The sequence below is a fragment of the Homo sapiens genome, chromosome 6 (genome assembly GCF_000001405.40).
Source record: "Homo sapiens chromosome 6, GRCh38.p14 Primary Assembly".
In the NCBI taxonomy this organism is placed as follows: domain Eukaryota; kingdom Metazoa; phylum Chordata; class Mammalia; order Primates; family Hominidae; genus Homo; species Homo sapiens.
This window is the reverse complement of record NC_000006.12, coordinates 155938521-155956375: the sequence shown is the minus strand read 5'-3', so window position 1 is coordinate 155956375 and position 17855 is coordinate 155938521. Positions and strand designations below refer to the sequence as shown.

The 17855-nt window shown below is 39.8% G+C and overlaps 1 long non-coding RNA gene and 1 other non-coding gene across 2 annotated transcripts in view; one reads left to right on the top strand and one right to left on the bottom strand.

The window, feature by feature from the left end:
- Positions 1 to 17855, top strand: part of LOC101928923 (uncharacterized) — a 487547-nt gene that overhangs the window by 339896 nt on the left and 129796 nt on the right. The gene's annotated exons all lie outside the window — the stretch shown is intronic.
- On the bottom strand, positions 9497 to 9579 carry MIR1202 (microRNA 1202). Its single transcript, NR_031606.1, has one exon. It is a non-coding gene; the product is annotated as a microRNA 1202 (primary transcript).

The following is a 17855-nucleotide window of genomic DNA, read 5'->3' as shown; positions in this document are numbered from 1 at the left end:
CAGTTCAAAGCAAAAATTATAAAACTACAATCAAGATAATTTTGAGAAATCTGTTATCACCTTCTATGTTATAGAACTAGTAATCTACCTTAATTTGGGTTATAGCCCAAGTTTAGTCTTTATATCATATTAATTGATTTCCAGATCTATTTCCAATTGATCCTGTCATTGTTGCTCTAATCTGAGAAACAGGAAGTGGAAATATAGGTCTCCCTGCTTTTCTAAAGGGTTTTTTGATCTTCTGATATTACAGGTGATGAAAGTCACCTAGCATCATTGCTTTTTCAGTAGGAGGTAAAATTTAACCTATAATGGAAAGTGTTTACTGAAACCGAAGATTTTGTTAGGTTAGGAAATGGTTGCTGCTGAAAATAGTTACATTTTAAAGGAACTAAACTATTGTAAAATACTGTACTTTCAAATCCTTTGGAATACAAAATAGTAAGCCTTTCAAATACACCAGTATGCATATTTTGCTATTACTTACATAACCCATAACTGGAACCTTTTGATTTATGTATAAATAAAAATATTTGTAACTTGTATTTATATTTTTTTGCGATTAAGGATAAATTATATCAACTGATCACCACCTTATTTTTTTCCTTCTGTGAGATATAAGCATATTTTTAGAGATACTGTAAGTCTGCTGAAGTTCCTTGCTTAACTAGATTTCTCCCTAGAGATTAAGGGACATTAACCTTTGTTAGGCACTTACCATGTGTCAGGCAATGAGCTAGGTGTTTTTTATAAATTACTTCATATACATTTCACAACCTTGTGTGAAGCAAATACTATACTTCCCATTTTGCGGATGAAAAGATTGAGCCTTAGATTAGTTAAATAATTAGACCCCAAATCAAGCGGCTAGTAAATGGCTGAGCTGGCATTTGACCCAGGTTTAGTCTGGCTGGGGAAACCTGCCTGCATTTCTTTTCTTCTACATCAAGGTTCTTCTGAATTCCCCGTGAAAGCTGTTAGTTTCAGCAAGTCCGGCTGAGTACTTCCTTTTCTTACCAAGCCCCTACTGCAAGTTCATATCCCTCAATCTACCAAAGCGCTTGGTGTTAGGGCTGCTCTGGAGCCCTGGGGAGAAATCAGGTGGTGTTAGCGTGCATTTAGGGGAAGTACTACATTTACATAACTACTGATTACATTTACATTTCCTCACCTGTCATTATAGCCGCTACCCAATCAGATCGTATAGCAAACACCTAAGAGGAGAAGAATGTGTAAAAGAACCCACCCAATTTGTGTCTGTTAAAGTAACTAACTCATCTTTTGTAATTTGCAAAAAGAAAAACCAGAACAAGAATCCTCATTTCTGCCATTATTTCTTACTTTGAATTCTGTGGGTACTACATAGCAAAACTATAAGTTTGTCTGTGTTAGTCAATAAACTTGAATTGGCAGAAATAGGCTGTGCTTTTGATATGTTCTCAAATCATATTAATCAGTGCCGTGCCACACTAAATGGAATCTGATTTTTCCTTTAAGGGGACTATTGTGACCAGTCTGGGTCAGAATCAGAGCTTAGCCTCTTTGGGCAAATTAGGGATCTGTGGTTCATAGCCTCAGTTTTCAATCTGCAAAGGGACCATGGTAATATCCCATAGAGTGAGAAAAGAGCAAACATGTAACAGGCTTAGCGCAGACTATAGCTGAAAAAATGCCAGTCACACCAAGGGTAGTAGAGTCCTTTCCTGCCAAGGTGTGCTATGACGGTCAATGGTTTTATGTCCTCGATCTCACCATGCCCTCATTTTCTGATGATTGGGAGCAGGCTCTTTAGTATTTATCTCCTTGTTAATTGAATGACTAGTTCTGGATAATGGATAATTCTCAATTTTCTATTTTTAGAAAGTGTATAAATATCTAAATTAGATTTAGGCAAAGTGAGCTGCAGTATTTGATATGCCGGGAACATAATTAGGTTGCTCCGTTTACCTACACAGTCGCAAGCAAACTTTAACTCATTAATCTGTAAAGGACTTTGATGAACCTTTGAACTAGATAAAAATATGCCAGTCATGGCAAAGTTCTACTCGATTCTCTGAGAACTTTCAAAGGACTGAAAGTGACTAATATATTTGGTTTTATAACATCATCCACCAGCTCTGATCATGCCACTCGGAAATCTTCAGAGGATTCTCACTGCCTCAGAGTCAAATAAAAGACATTTGGGGCGAGCTAAAAGCACTGCACGAGGACTCAGGTGACCCCCACTCTGGTTCCCTTCTTTCCTTTATCCTCAGTGATCTTGGGCAAGATGGGTAGCCTTTAGGGCCTCAGATTCCTCATTGTTATACTGAATTAAAGATAACAATCCTAGGGGCAGAGAAAGGCTTACATGCCATCATGTCTGTGAAAGTCCTTTTGAGAATTCCAAGTGTAGGTCTGATGTTAGGCCTGAGTCCCCAGTACCTGGGAACACCTAGACCTGACTTCCCTGCCCAGGTTTTTCTCTCTTAACTTCCCCACACCCTCTTCACTTCCCGAAGCCTCCTCCTTTCCACTCTCTGAACCCTCCCTGCCCTGCTGACTGACTGTCTCTGTGCCTCTATCAATATTCTTTCCTAGTACAAGAGTGCCCCGGCCGCCACAGGAACCCATCCATTCAAGGACCAGCCCAAAGGCTGCCACTTCCGGAAATCCATCAGCCCAGCTCCCCTCCACTTCCACAGCATTTCACATTCTATTTCTAAGACTTGCCATATTCTTCCTTGCCTCGTGTTTTCACACACAAACATGCATTTGTTTAATTTATGCATCATTAAAAGTTCTCTAGATTTTGACCCTGTGTCTCTTTTTCTCCTGGTTTGGAGAACTCAGCCCACCACTGTGCCACCCATCCTGTTCTTTCTCACTTGCTCTCAGACTTGACTCCATCTCACAGGCCCCATTTTCTTTATTTCAGTCTCAACAGAACGTATCTACAGCCTAAAAAGGTGCCCAGGTGCCCCTAGCCCCAACTCACACTGTCCTTGCTTCTCTTTCCCAGTCAATGTTATGAAAAAGCCTTGTATGATGTGGCTTTTGTTTTCTCAACCTCCTCACTTCTCAGTGCCTGAAATCACTATCTGGTGCCCACAGTGCTCTACGGAAACTGTTCTCTGTCATTGCCAAGGTGATCCAACCCCTCTCCTACCTTTTCCTAATTGTTTCTCCAATTCATCCTAAATCCACCCCCCACCCCCATGAATACCTCTTCAAGTGTAGTTCTTATGATATCATTTCCCTCTCTTGCAGAAAACTTGTGTCTACAATGTGTAGACAAGTCCCAAAAAAGAAACTGAACAACAGCCAATAAACGTGTAAAAAATATTTAACCTTAACAGAAAGCAAAGAAACATGTGAAATCCTTTTTAAAAATCTTTCTTATTCATAAAGTTTTTAAAAAACTACCCAATATGATTGAGTTTAAGGATAAGCAAACACATTTTGTGAACAGCGATTTAAATGTGAACTGGTGCAATTTTTCAGAAATCCTCTAAAATTACACGTGCATAATTTCAACCAATTAAATTTTAGTAATATATACTAATTTCTTATGGCAACATTGTTTATAAGAGCTAAAACTTGGTAATAATTCTGTGACAATAAAAAATTGCACACATCCATACAATGAAATACCATGTAGCCACTGAAAGATGGTGTACAGTTAGTTGACGTGAAAATATTGTATAATATGTATTTAAGTGAAAAAAATCAATTTGCAAAATGACAGATATAAAATTTCTAGTTTTAAAAATATTCAGAACTATTGAGTATGCTAGGGTGCTATTCTAGCTGCTAGGGATATGAGTATGCATAGAAAGTTTGGAAGAATATACACAAGATATTAATAAGAATAAAGATCTCTAGGAGAAAAATTATTTCCAAGTTTCCTCTAAGGGATATGTATTGCTTCTACAATAATTTTATAATTAAAAAAAAAAAACCAGTGCCTTTAGAATACACATCAGATCCTCTGGCCTTCAACATCTTAGTCTTAATTCCTTTGTCAATCTCATTTCCCATAAGTCTGTCCACTCAACATCTACTATATGGTTTTGGTTGTTATATAAGCCCTCTGAATTTCTTTTTTTTTTGAGAGGGGTTCTCTTTCTGTCACCCAGGATGGAGTGCAATGGCATGATCTTGGCTCACTGCAACTTCCACCTCCTGGGTTTAAGCAATTCTCCCACCTCAGCCTCTCAAGTAGCTGGGATTACAGGTGCCCACCACTATTCCCAGCTAATTTTTGTATTTTTTAGTAGAGATGGGGTTTCACCATGTTGGCCAGGCTGGTCTTGAACTCCTGACCTCAAGCGATCCGCCTGCCTTGGTCTCTCAAAGTGCTGGGATTACAGGGGTGAGCCACCAAGACTGGCCGAATTTCTTAATGTTACATATATCATGGAATGTTCTCACTTTATCTTCTCATGGCCAAATCCCATATAACCTTTGCAGAGGCTCGTCAGGAAGTAATCTTCCCCGTCTCTGAACTCACATATTCCTTCATCTCTGTCCTCTCACAGGATCTATCCCTTTCTTCCTCATATGACCAGACTCACTGACTGTTGAGGGCACAGTCCATACGTAAGTCATTTCTGTATTTCTCTTGCATGACAGCACCTTTCATAGTCTCTTGAATATAGAAGGCCCCATATCAGTACTCATGGGGTGAACTGACAAATGCATGCACTCCTTCTCTAGGTTATAAATTCCCTGAGGGCAGGGAATCTTATTCTTCTACAACATCAGTATTCACATCACGGCACTGTTCTCCTGAACATGAACACAGCTATGAAGAGCTTAAAGGGAATCAACGTCCGAGTTCTCAACTGTCACGTGTGGTCATTCCACTGACTGAGAATGCAGGCTTGGGGTGGAAGCGTCCTGATACTCCTGACCCTTCTCTCCTTTCCTAATCACCTTCTCCCATTTCACTAAACAGACAGACAGATGAACAAATAAATACAATGTTTCTCTCACCTATCCTGATTGTTTTGTTTCATTGCCTTAAGATGTAAAAGTCTCATGGGTACCAAAGAGAAGGATAGTTTGAATTTTTTCATGCGATCCCATCACTTTTTCCAACCCCTCACTTATACTCTCATGAGAGCAGGGGCTTCTAATTTCACTCACAGGAAAAATTCATGGCCAGGCTCTGTGTTCTATCTAATCATCTACTATTGTATCTTTTTCTCTATTCTGCAATTAGAAGACAACAGGGAGATGGTTGTCATGGAATGCTTATTAACTCATTTCTTTAAATTGAAAAGTGAAATCATACATTTCAGGCAGAAGGGGAGTCTGACTTGACTGGTGGCTTTGACAAGGAGGGCTCATTTGTCATTTAGTTTATATGGTGGACAGTTCTCATAAGTTCAGTGAGCTAAGTCTGAATCCCCAAATGTTGACAAGAATGTACTTGAAGTATGTGATAAAATTTAAAAAATTATTGTGTTAGCAAAGGACTTCTGAAATTAAACTTTACTTTCTTTTTTTTTAAAACAAATCTTTCTTAGTACAGTGTGTATAAAATATTAGCATGTTTAGTACAAGATGCCTCCAAGTGAAAGTGTAACTGACTGTAGTCATTTGAATTGTCTTGGTAAAGCTCTTAAGTATCCTTTCCAGAGACTGAGAAAGATGTATTTAGTATCTGGCTAAAGATAAAATATCCTTTGCAAGTCATGTTTCTTAAAAAATATTTTGTTTCCCACAAAATTGAAGGATACCCCAAACAAGTTTTTAGCTAATTATGGAAATGTTTGATCATAGGTCACTTTGTGATATCTGACATGTAATTTAGGGGAAGTTCATGGAATTGAGTGACAGTGCTGTAACAAGACTTCCATTCTGATCAACTTATTTATGTCAACAAAATTTTTCAGCATTTACAACTACAAAAGCAAAAATTGAGAATGGACTTAATGCCAGACAATACACAATTCTAGCAATAATAAAAGCATTCATAAAATTTAATAGTTTTTTTGAGATGGAGTCTCGCTCTGTCACTCAGGCTGAAGTTCAGTAGCATGATCTCTGCTCACTGTAACCTCTGCCTCCCAGGTTCAAGCGATTCTCCTGCTTTGGCCTCCTGTGTAGCTGGAACTATAGGTGTGCACCACCACACCCAACTAATTTTTGTATTTTTTAGTAGAGATGGGGTTTCACCATGTTGGCCAGGTTGGTCTTGAAATCCTGACCTCAGGTGATCTACCTGCCTCAGCCTCCCAAAGTGCTGGGATTACAAGCATAAGCCACCATGCCCAGCCTAACTTTTATTTTTAATAATTATGTATCAAGATATGTGATCTAATAATGTTAATGATAATAAAATGCAGAAAAACAATTTAATGTTTAGATCCTGATGGCTAGGCGAAATGATAAATATATGAATTTTGATTTATGTACCTATTTTAGGGGGAAGAGATGAATAATTAGGTATAATGGAAATAGTAGTTCAAGAAGAAAAATGCATAATGTAAAATTACTGACTCTGAAACAGCTTGTTAATATTTGTAAATTGATAATGGTAGATAGCAAATTGCTCTGGTATTTATATTCAATTCGATGTATTTCAAAGAGTGTTATAATAGTTTTATTTTAAAATGTCAATAGTTACAATCTACCAGAAATTAAACTGTTGCAACAATTTGAATTTGTGATTAAAAACTTAGAAGTCAAGCTTAAAAATGTGTGATGGTGTACCTAAGTTTTCAAAATTTTCTGGGGTACATATACATAGATAGCTTGAAAATAATTGCCTTAAAAGACACTTAATTGGTGTCTTTGAAACAGATTAAATATAAAGTAATAATTAACAGAAGGTATGAACCAGTGATGTTAATTTTTCAAAATCCTGTACAGATGGAGCATAATTCTTGGCTAATTTCCACTCAATTAAGAATCTGGTCCACTGGTCATGGTGAAGAGAACAAAAGTGATGGCCTAGCTTTCACCTCCTGCATGGTCCATGTGTGTCTCTGGGTTAAATTTAAAAATACAGGCTGGGTGCGGTGGCTCATGCCTGTATTCCCTGCACTTTGGGAGGCTGAGGCCGGTGGATCACCTGAGATCAGGAGTTTGAGACCAGCCGGGCCAACATGATGAAGTCCTGTCTGCTGGGTGTGGTGGTACATGCCTGTAGTCCCAGCTACTCAGGAGGCTGAGGCAGAAGAATCACTTGAACCCAGGAGGCAGAGGTTGCAGTGAACAGAGATCACACCACTGCCCTCCAGCCTTGGTGAGAAGAGCAAAACTCCATCTCAAAATAATAATAATAATAATAATAATAATAATAATAAAATAAAAAAATAAATTCCTCTGAAAATTTATCCTCACTAACTACAGGTAACAAACTTTGGCTAATTAATCACCATATGGGAAGTTTACATTGACTTTAAAATTTTTTCAAACATGGTATCGAGAACAAAGTAAATGAGGGTTGTGCCCTAAGAGAAAGGCTTTGCTGTGGGATATTGGACAACGAAGTCTTGCTCACTGTGGCTCACAGTCCCAACCTTCTTCAGTTGTCAATATCTGACTTAACTCTTTGTAGAGAAGGACACAGCATCTTATTCCAGACAGAAGGTGCTCTGGTCATGGCATTCGCCATACAAGCTGCAGTAACAAATTCTGCTGACCAGGGCACATAGCTATGTCTGGGGGAAAAAATAAGATTGAGTCCACAGTAAACTTCTTTTAACATTTTCAGAAAACTGAGATGAATGTTTAAGTAAGGCTTTCTCATGAGCCAAGCTCATCTGATCCCATGCCCTTCCACTCTCTTGTTACTTCCTCCACGCCAGCCACACTCACCTGTCAGGGCTCCTCAAACACATGAGGTGCTTCCATCTCACTTGGTCTTTCTGCTGCTAAGTGATTTTCCCCCAGAGAGTCATGGGGCTCACTGCTTCATTGCATTCTAGTCTCTGCCCAAAAGTCACCTTCTCCAAGAGGGCTCTCTGACTACTGTGCCTAAAATCACACCCTCCCCATCACTCTATTGTAGTACTTAGCTGCTAATAATTATGTTGGGACAACAGCCTTAAACTGTCTCAGGCAAAGGGGGCATATGGCCATACTATTCATAGCACTTACTGTCACAGGATCCATAGGGTGTCACTTTTCCAGCCAGAAATCTCTGTGGCTGGTGGCGTCTTTGCCTGAGTTTTGCTTGGGCCCACGGGGCTCATTCTGCCCACTCAGCCTGGCAGGCTGTGCTGAGCTCATGCTACCAGCCCAGATCCCACGCCTACCAAGGGCAAGCCAGGCATGGAGCAGCAAGAGTTGTGTGAGCAGACAAGTGTGGGGTCCAGCCACAGTGCACAGCCAGGCACATCGGCTATTATGGAGGGGTGGGCAGCTCCAGGCATGTGCACAGGTGCCAGCTCAGATGCCAGCTCTGTGCAAGGCTGCAGCTGGATCAGATGTACCATAAGTGGCTTCTACCTGCATCTGGATGAGGGGAACATAGTGGTGCCTGGAAGCTTAGAGATGTCAGGAACTCCAGAGCCACAAAAAGGATGTCACAGCCCTGGCTTGGGGAGCCCCTAGGTCTGAGATCCTTGAAGGGCCACAGCTCTTCTCTCCTTCTCATCACCCACAATGCAGCAAGCAAGTGGCTTGTTTCACCCCTGTTTGTGTTATAGCTCTTTCAGTCCTGCCATTCAGTGGGTCCTGAGTTCTTGTCTTGCATCCAGGAAGAATGAGGTAGGTGGACAACTGGAGGGTGAGCAAAGTGGAGAGGAGCTTCATTGAGTGACAGAACAGCTCTCAGGAGACCCAAAGTGGGTAGTTCCTTGCTGCAGGCAGGTCATCCTGACGAGTGTGTGAGTCTGGCTGAGTCTGGGGTTTTTATGTGCTCAGAATGGAGGAAGTGTGTGCTGACTGGCCCACAGGCAGCCACAGTGGGCCTGGAAAATGCACCATCTGATTGGCTGAACAGTCATCAATGAAGTTCTCACTCTGGGCTGTAGCCTTTGCCCAGAACTGGCAGCCTGGCCCCCAGGCTTCACGCTGTTCCTGACCTGAAAGTGGGGTTTCACCAGAGACCCACCCCTTCCCGCCTAGGAATCTGTCTGCCTTTAACATGCCATTCACAGCACCCAGGCTGTCCATAAGGAGAGGCACCGGCAGGCATGCACTGAGCTGCTCTCAGCCTCCTTGCCCCCCACCCATGCTCAGTGATGCCCAAAGCCTAGAGGGGGCCAAGGTGGCAGGGTGTTGGTGTCAGTGCCATGCTGAGGACACGCACACCTGGCCAGGTTGCGACAGCCGCCAGGCTCAGCCACAACTTTGCTCTGCCCCAAGCAGGGACTGGGAACAGGGAGAGGACAGGGAGCTGGAGCAGGCATGTTCAAGCCTGCAGGGGCAGGGGGGTTCCTGGGCCCCTGAGAGTGCAGGAATGTCCAGGTCCAGAACCCTGGCTGGGCAGCTGTAGCTGTGTGCCAGGGAGCAAGGGGCTCCCATCCTGCCAACTCAGTAGGGGGTGGGGCTCCCACCTGTTCTTGGCACCTGCTGGCTAAGCAGAGTGGGCAGCCCTGGCAGTGCCTCCCCCACTGCAGCTGGCACCTCTGCAGCAGGTGCTCCAGATGGGCTGCTGCTGCCATCACTACCACCAGCTGACTTTGTTTTCCATAGAAGTTCCTTGAAGACATGAACTTTATTTTGTTCACTTAGAGCAGTGCCTGGCACATGGAGGGCCCTTAATAAATATTTATTGAATAATACTAAAATTAGCATTATATGCCAACAATTGTTCCATGTCTTGTAATATTCTTTAACAATATACATTTTAAAGGTTGTTAACACATGTTGACGAATTGCTTTCCAAAAAGTTTTTCTAGTCATTCAGCAACATTCTCTGGTCACTCTTAGAACATCGTTCAAATATTAGAATATATTAGTATCACTACTAATTTTATAGACAGTTCCAATGTGCATTTCTATGATGACTCAAAAGAATAAATAGGTTCTTTACATTTATTGGCTATTTGTATTTTTCCTGTGATTGTTATTATGTGCTTTGTAAAATAGGGGGTAAGGATTATAATTACACGATATGGTCTCCACACTCAAGACTTTAATTTAGCCAGTGAAAGAGTAAATTTTATAGGGAATAATAATTATGAAAAAGTTTAGGAATTGATTTTGTTGGGAAATAGTTAAGAAAAAATATTCAAAAGTTTAAAAAGAACAGAACTGGAAAGCTGCATAAAGTCCTAAAGCAGCAACATTTAGTTACTAAAACACATGGCTTTAAAAATATAACCATTGTTTCCTAATTGACTCTGCTATATCTGCATAGTGAATGGGAAAGGAGCAGAGATTTTGAAAGTGAAGCCCTTCCACTCCCACTCTTCATCAAAAGGGAATAGTACAGAAAGGAAGCAGCCATCACCTACTAGCTGCTATTGAAAATAATAGAATCAGTTAAAATTATACCAAATTGTAGCTATGTTAATTGAATTGCAATTAAAGTGATTATTGTGTGGTGTTATTTGGCAAAGGAACTCAGAAATAACTGTGTCCTGCCTTGCTATAGATACCTCTTGGGGTGAGCTTCCAAGGGCAAAAGAGTTGCAAGAGAAAGTCTGACCAAGCCGGTCATTGTCTCACATCTTTATTGCTTGGGCGCTAGCCTCCCTCTCCAACATAGGTCTTCAGGAAGTCAGCTGTTCTTGGAGCATTGTTCCTCTCTGAGCCAAGTGGCTCTTTCCTAACCCCAAACCTGGGTCTCTAATGTCAACACTCAGGTCGGTGGAAAGGTTGAATTAAAGTGGACTTCCCAAGATGAGAAGAAATAGAACATGAAGAAACGCAAGAGGGAGGGGATGGCAGGAGGAAGGTGCCTGCCCCAGTGCTGTGTCTCCTACTCCAGACTTTATCAAACCTGATCTAGGGCTGCCCTTGAGGCAGGAGAGAGTACAGAGTGGAAGAAAGAGAGAGCTAAAGATAAAGAGAGATGTTTGGGATTTTTCCAAGGGGAAATGGCTCAGGCCCTCATTACCATTCTGTACTCTGTGGAAGCAACAGAGACCAGAAAGGAAAAATCCACACTCCAGTGCTGCCACCTTCATCTGTTTGAAAATTATATCAATACACAGTGCTAAGGTTTGAATAATTCAGATCATAACTCTTTCCCATTGCGGGTAGGGTGTCTTGCTCTTGTTTTCTCCTTTGGAAGGAGTGATGAGGGGTGTGGAGAAAGGAGCAGAAATACTCAGTGAGCTTCTCTTGCAGGTCAACGCTCGCCATTCTGATCAGAGATAGGATGGCACAGGAGGGACAGGGCAATCCATGGGAAGTTTTGCTCCTGCCTTAAACGAGGTGAGAATACTCACAGCAAAATTAGGTCTAAAGCTCAGAGAGATGCTCTTTGCTGCAAAGGGTAACACTTGAAATAGAGCCACCTGGGGATTTATTAGCCTGAAAATTTCAGGAACTTCAAAGGAAACAATATTAAATGGGAAAGCATCAATTCTCATCAGAATTCAGAAATTTAGGGAAATAAGAACTATATATCAGAATGGAGAGATATTTTACATACAGTTTTTTGTTCATTTGTTTCCCTTGGTCTAAAAGAAGATTTAACCTTAAACTGAACTTGAATTTTTAGAATCAGAAATTTAAAACCAAAATGAACATTTAGCCATGATCTCAATGCTGAAACATTACAGATGAGAAGGTTGACATGGTATCACTAAGCTAGACTAGAATCCAAGCTTCCAGCCTAATATGTGGAGTCTTTTTTCATGTTTCCAGGAAATGAATCGTGTGATCGGATCTTACAAGAGGACAAATTTTGTTTAAAACTGAATGATAAAGATTGGCCACAAAGAAAGCTGGACACATACAAATTTTAAAATCCAGTTTCTATGTCTATGAATACAAGAAGAAGTGCATCACCAAAGTAAACAAGATCACAATCTAGTGATAGCTTAAACAATCTGTGAATGTGTGATCCATACTGCTCTCAGAAAGGGAAGGATGGTTTTTCTGGTGCTGCTACTAATAGAAAAGCACATACAGCATGCATGTCTAAGGCAGTCTCATGTAATATAGTAGTACCTTGGCTGGGCACGGTGGCTTATGCCTGTAATTCCAGCATGTTGGGAGGCCAAAGCGGACGGATCATGAGGTCAGGAGTTCGAGACCAACCTGACCAACATGGGGAAACCCCATCTGTACTAAAAATACAAAAAAATCAACTGGGCGTGGTGGTGCGTGCCTGTAATCCCAACTACTTGGAAGGCTGAGGCAGGAGAACTGCTTGAACCCGGGAGGCAGAGGTGGCAGTGAGCCGAGATTGTGCCACTGTACTCCAGCATGGGCAACAGAGCAAGACTCCATCTCAGAAAAAAAAAAAAAAAAAAAGAAAGAAAAAACATATATAGTAGCACTTTCTATTTACCAGGCACCATCAGAGGCATTTTACATGTTTCATTGCATTTTATCCTCCTAACAATCCAATGAGCTAAGTGTTGTTATTATCAATATTTTGCAGATGAGGAAACTAAATGACAGAGAGGTTGAGTCACTTGCTCAAAGTCACATGGTGTATTAGTGGTGGAACCAGGATAAACCACATGAATAGTGCTGAGAGTAACTGCTTTTATTAAACTGTGAAAGAGGGAGCAACTGCCACTTCCTAGAGTAGAATCTTACTCCAAACACACCACGGGGACCCATTAGAACCTAGCAAATGTGATGTTTGAAGAGGATTAACAAAAGGATGTGTTCTGTTGCTATTTATTTAGGTATTCTGGATTTCATTTTTAATCAAAGTAGATCATCAGAAGGCTACCCAATTGAAATATATCTTTGCCACTGATGGACTTGTTTTTACAAACTTTTCAGATAATGGCCTTGCCTTTTCTTGGAGGGTATTTTAAAGCACAACCTCATCAATTTCATTCTTATATTTTATTTAGGAATTGTGTTGAGGCATTGTCTGGTACATTATTTACTACCTTGTACATGCAACTCAGTGTGGAAAAACTTACTTTAGAAATGTGTGCTGCAAGCTGGGAGTGGTGGCTCATTCCTGTAATCCCAGCACCTTGAGAGGCTGAAGTGGACAGATCGCTTGAGGTCAGGAGTTCGAGATCAGCCTGGCCAACATGGCGAAACCCCATCCCTACTGAAAACACAAAAAATTAGCCGGCTGTGGTGGTGGGCACCTGCAGTCCCAGCTACTTGGGAGGCTGAGGCAGGAGAATCACTTGAACCAGGGAGGCGGAGGTCGCAGCAAGCCAAGATTGCATCATTGCACTCCAGACTGGGTGACAGAGTAAGACTGACAAAAAAAAAAAAAAAGAAAGAAAAGAAAAGAAAAGAGTGCTGGAAAAGCCTTACTTCTCCTGTGATAAGTGTTTGATATCTGAGACTGCTGTCTTTTTCATTTTGTACACCAGGAAGCTCAGAATCAAATTTTAAAATGACCTATTACAATTACATATAGCGATTATGGTGCAGGCATGTATTTTCACTTGCTTCTAGTTTTGACTTTTACATGTATTAATATTTACTTTTTTCTTTGACACAATTCTCTCTACTCCTCCTCTTTCCTTCCTCCTCCTGCTCCTCTTCTTCCTTTCTTTTCCTCCTTCTTCTTACCATTTGGGGGATATGTTATCGTGAACCAGCTTAAATCTTATGTAAAATCGTTATAGATATAAACTAACATCACTTAGTGTAGGGACAAAAATCAATATCTAAGAACACTTTGAATCAGAACCTTTTCATTCAACAACAGTAAACTATTAAAACTTGTATTAAATGTCTAATTACACAACATAATTGGAGAGAACCACTTAAATACAAATATTTGTGTTACGAAGAGCTTAAAAATAATTATTTAGATAATGAAGCTAATGCTTAGAAAGGCTAAATGGTGTCCCCAATGTCACTTAGCTAGTTAGAAGCAAGAACAGGATGAGGGATAAGAAATTACTTAATGGGTACCATGTACATTATTTGGGTGATGGCCACACTAAAAGTCCAGACTTCAACAACGTGTAATATATTCATATAACAAAACTGCACTGGTACCCTCTAAATCTATTTTTAAAAGTCCCCCCAACACAGAAATAAGAGAACAAATATTTACATACCTGGTATATAAAACTGAGTTGAATATTACGTTTTACATCTCTTTGAAGATACCAACAAATAGGTCTCTCTTTTTAAAAATATGTAAAGCGTATCAACAGTTAAAAATACCAGAAAGCAAAATATGATTACAGCCTAACCAGAAAGCCTAACAGCCTAACCAGTAACTCTAAAATAGCTTAGAGTTAGAGTGCAATGTGATCAAGCCTGTAATGGAAGTATGCACAGGGAACAACGGGAAGACAGGACGAACACCTACCTTAGCCAAGGATGGCTAGAGATAGCTTTGCAGAATGATGACGGTTGAATCGAGCCTTGAAGAAACAGTAGGAATTACTAGGTAGAGAAGGGTGGGAATGTTTGGGAGAACGAGGAAAATAAAACGAAAGAAATAGGCAGAGATTAGAACACAACAGTTCCTTTTCCTTAAGCCTATGAGGGTTCTGGACAATCTTCAGCAAGAAAGGGTGCATTTTTATTCTTTGGAATCATCTCTACAGAATGGACTGGAGAAGAGTTGGTAGTAGGAGTAGAAAAACTGGTTAGCTGGCTAGTGCAATAATTCAGATGAGAAGTAAGAAGTATCATTGAGGACAGAAAGAAAGAAATTATTTTTAAACCAACTATTATGAGCATTAAAAAATCTGCAGGACTTGGTGATTAAATCAGGTGGGTGGAGATGGAGAGGAATGAAGGTCAGTGAAAAATCAAGAATAACTCAGGCTAGTGGCTTGGGTGACTATGTAAATAGAAACACCATTTCACAAGACACGAGAAAAAGCAAAGCAGTGGTCTGGAAGGCGAGTCTACTGTTGAACATCATTATGAGCTATCATTAGACAACCTAGTGGAGTCCAGTTGGCTTTGTGTATGCGGCTCTGAATTGTTACAGAGCAGTCTAAGGGGCAAAAAGAGAATTGTAAATTTCTCCAAGATTGCTCTCAGTGATTTTTTTTTTAAAGTCATATATATTAGTTTACCAGAAAACAATGGGATTGTGATATATAACTTACATGTGGTATACAGGTGAAGTCAGTAGAATAAAATGAGATTGCACAGAGCAAAAGAAATCTGAAATACAAACTTCCCACGTTTAAATGTTGGGTAAAGAGGAGCCTGTATTAATCCATTCTCACATTGCTAAAAGAACTACCCAAGACTGGATAATTTATAAAGAAAAGAGATTTAATTGGTTTATGGTTCTGCAGGCTGTGCAGGAAGCATGGCTGGGGAGACCCCAGGAAATCATGGCGGAAGGCAAAGGGGAAGCAGGCACTTCCTACCCTGGCTGGAGACGGAGAAAGAAAGAGTAGGGGGGAGGTGGTACGCACTTTTAAATAACCAAATCTCGTGAGAACTCACTCACTATCATGAGAACAGCAAGGGAAAAATCCACCCTCAGGATCCAATCACCTCTCACCAGGCCCCTCCTGGGGTTACAATTCCACATGAGATTTGGATGGAACACAGATCCAAACCATATCAGAACCTCAAAGCAATTCAGAAGTAGTCAGACAGGCAGGATGAAAACCTGGAAGGCTTTATGTCAGAAAAGCCAAGAAAAATGTCAACTACTACAAAGTTTCAACCAAACAAAAGTCACATAATACAAAACAAAGGTAAACTGTAAAAATGTTTAAAGATGTAATAGACGCAGTGCGTTTGATACTGGCAGTTAGAAACTCACTGATAATAATATTGAGATCAATTTTACATAACATCTCACATAATTGAAGACCAAACGGGATATACTGTAGATACTCAATAACTGTACTAAACCAACGAAAGGATTTTCACTGCAGATTGGAGAAAAGTATTTTGGTTGCTTTATATGTATTCTGGGTATGAAAAAGGCATCAGCTCTTCCGTGACTAGCATATACCTGTAAATTCAAGATAGCAGTTGTGCATTTTATATATCAAGCAAAATCATTTAATCATTTAAGCCACGTGGGTTAACTTTTATAAAAGGTTTTTAAAAGTTCAGTTTAATACTTTTTTTCAGTCCAATTATTTTACATAGATTTAATCAATGAAATAAGGATTTAAACTGAGGAAGAAAGCATGACTCTTTGGAGGGCTGAATGAGAAATTGGGGATTGAATCACTTAGTGTGATTCTGGGTGTGTGGAAGATGCTTGAAAAATGACAGCCATCGATATCATTACAACATCTCTGGAATCAAAATGTTCTCTATTTAAAGGCAAGTTGTAGAAACTAATGGTTTCTGCATGGTGTGCCTACATGAAATTATTTGGGAATTAATTTAAAGGAATTAATTTTTTCTTTTGAAAATATATTGATAGTAACACTTGTGCGAATGGTCATAAAGTTGAATTATTACCATAATAGTGTTCTGTTTTTTTGAAATTCTGCTATTGTGGAGACACTGTCAAAATTATCCTCTTAGGCATTTCATCTTATGATAAATATTGCATTCCCCAACCTCGGTTGCACATACATAACTATCCTTGGAAGGACAAAAGTAGAATGAAGAAAGAGGAGAGAGAGTTGGGAATCACTGCAAATTCTTATGTCAGCAAGCATTCCGGGTATTTTTTAGCAGCTTGTTTTGGTCTATTGCTTGCCAAAGCACTATGAAAAAAATATGTAATTGTATTTCACAAATAATTGATATAAACATTTAAAGAGTGAATCACAATCATACCTTGTTTTATCTTTTTCTTTCTGCTTTCAAGCCTCTCTCTTTTTACAGTAGCTGCATGTTTGTTCTAGGCTGAGTGCCAGTTGTATCAATTAAACAGTAACTAATTCAAGTACATTTGCAATCTGTGTTTGAAATGCCAGCCCATACAGTAGTTACCAATTAAGCATGAGGCAGATTAATGGATGCATTGTTCTCCTGGGCTAACTTCACCACATTGTCATTAAGCATGTAAGCCCCACTGAACCAAAGACTTCCATTTAAAGGGAAAGGAAAACACATGCTTACCAAAAAAAAAAAAAAAAGTTGGGTGTTTTATGTCAAGCAGAATTATTTAACAGGAAAGGTGGTGGGTAACCTTTTGAAGGGAGAAGAAATTATGGCTGTTTAGTGTCTTTCTCAATCCCTTTATTTTGTGTAGATTTGATCAATGGAGAAATATAAAGGTACAAAATGGGGAGGAAAATAATGGGAACAGATCAGACAGACAAATGGCTCCTGTAAGTTCACAGTTCTTAAAACAGATGTTCTTTTCAGCTGGCTATAGTATATCATTATCTCCAGGAACACTGAAGATCAAGTACAAAGATTCACTAGGGACAGTGGAAATACAGCATAGTTACTGTGCAAGACACTTGGCTCTGTACCCCCTTTCCCTGCCCCACTTACCACTCTCAATTTAAGGAAACAAATATTTTAGGTAACGGTTTGGTCCATTTTAAATGTACAGGTTTGTGGTTCTTAGAACCAAGTGTAATCTTGGCAAAATAACACTGTTTTCGGCACTCACCAAACATTTAATGATTGTCGTAGTTCATATCAGAACAAATGGAAAGAGACTGTGAATTTAAAAGGTAGCAATTTCATTTTAATTCTCCAGCACGTGTGAGTGTCTGTGGAAATGTCTCTTCTTTTTGTTTTTTTTTTCTGTTTTGCTTTGGCCACTTATAATAAGTTAAATGCCTAAAAAGGTACTTAATTCTTTCTTATTAAAGAAAATAAATACTTTTTGTATTTTACGTGCCATTTTTTTTTTCACCGGGCATGGTGTGGTTAAATAAATGGCTAACCAATTTCCCCCA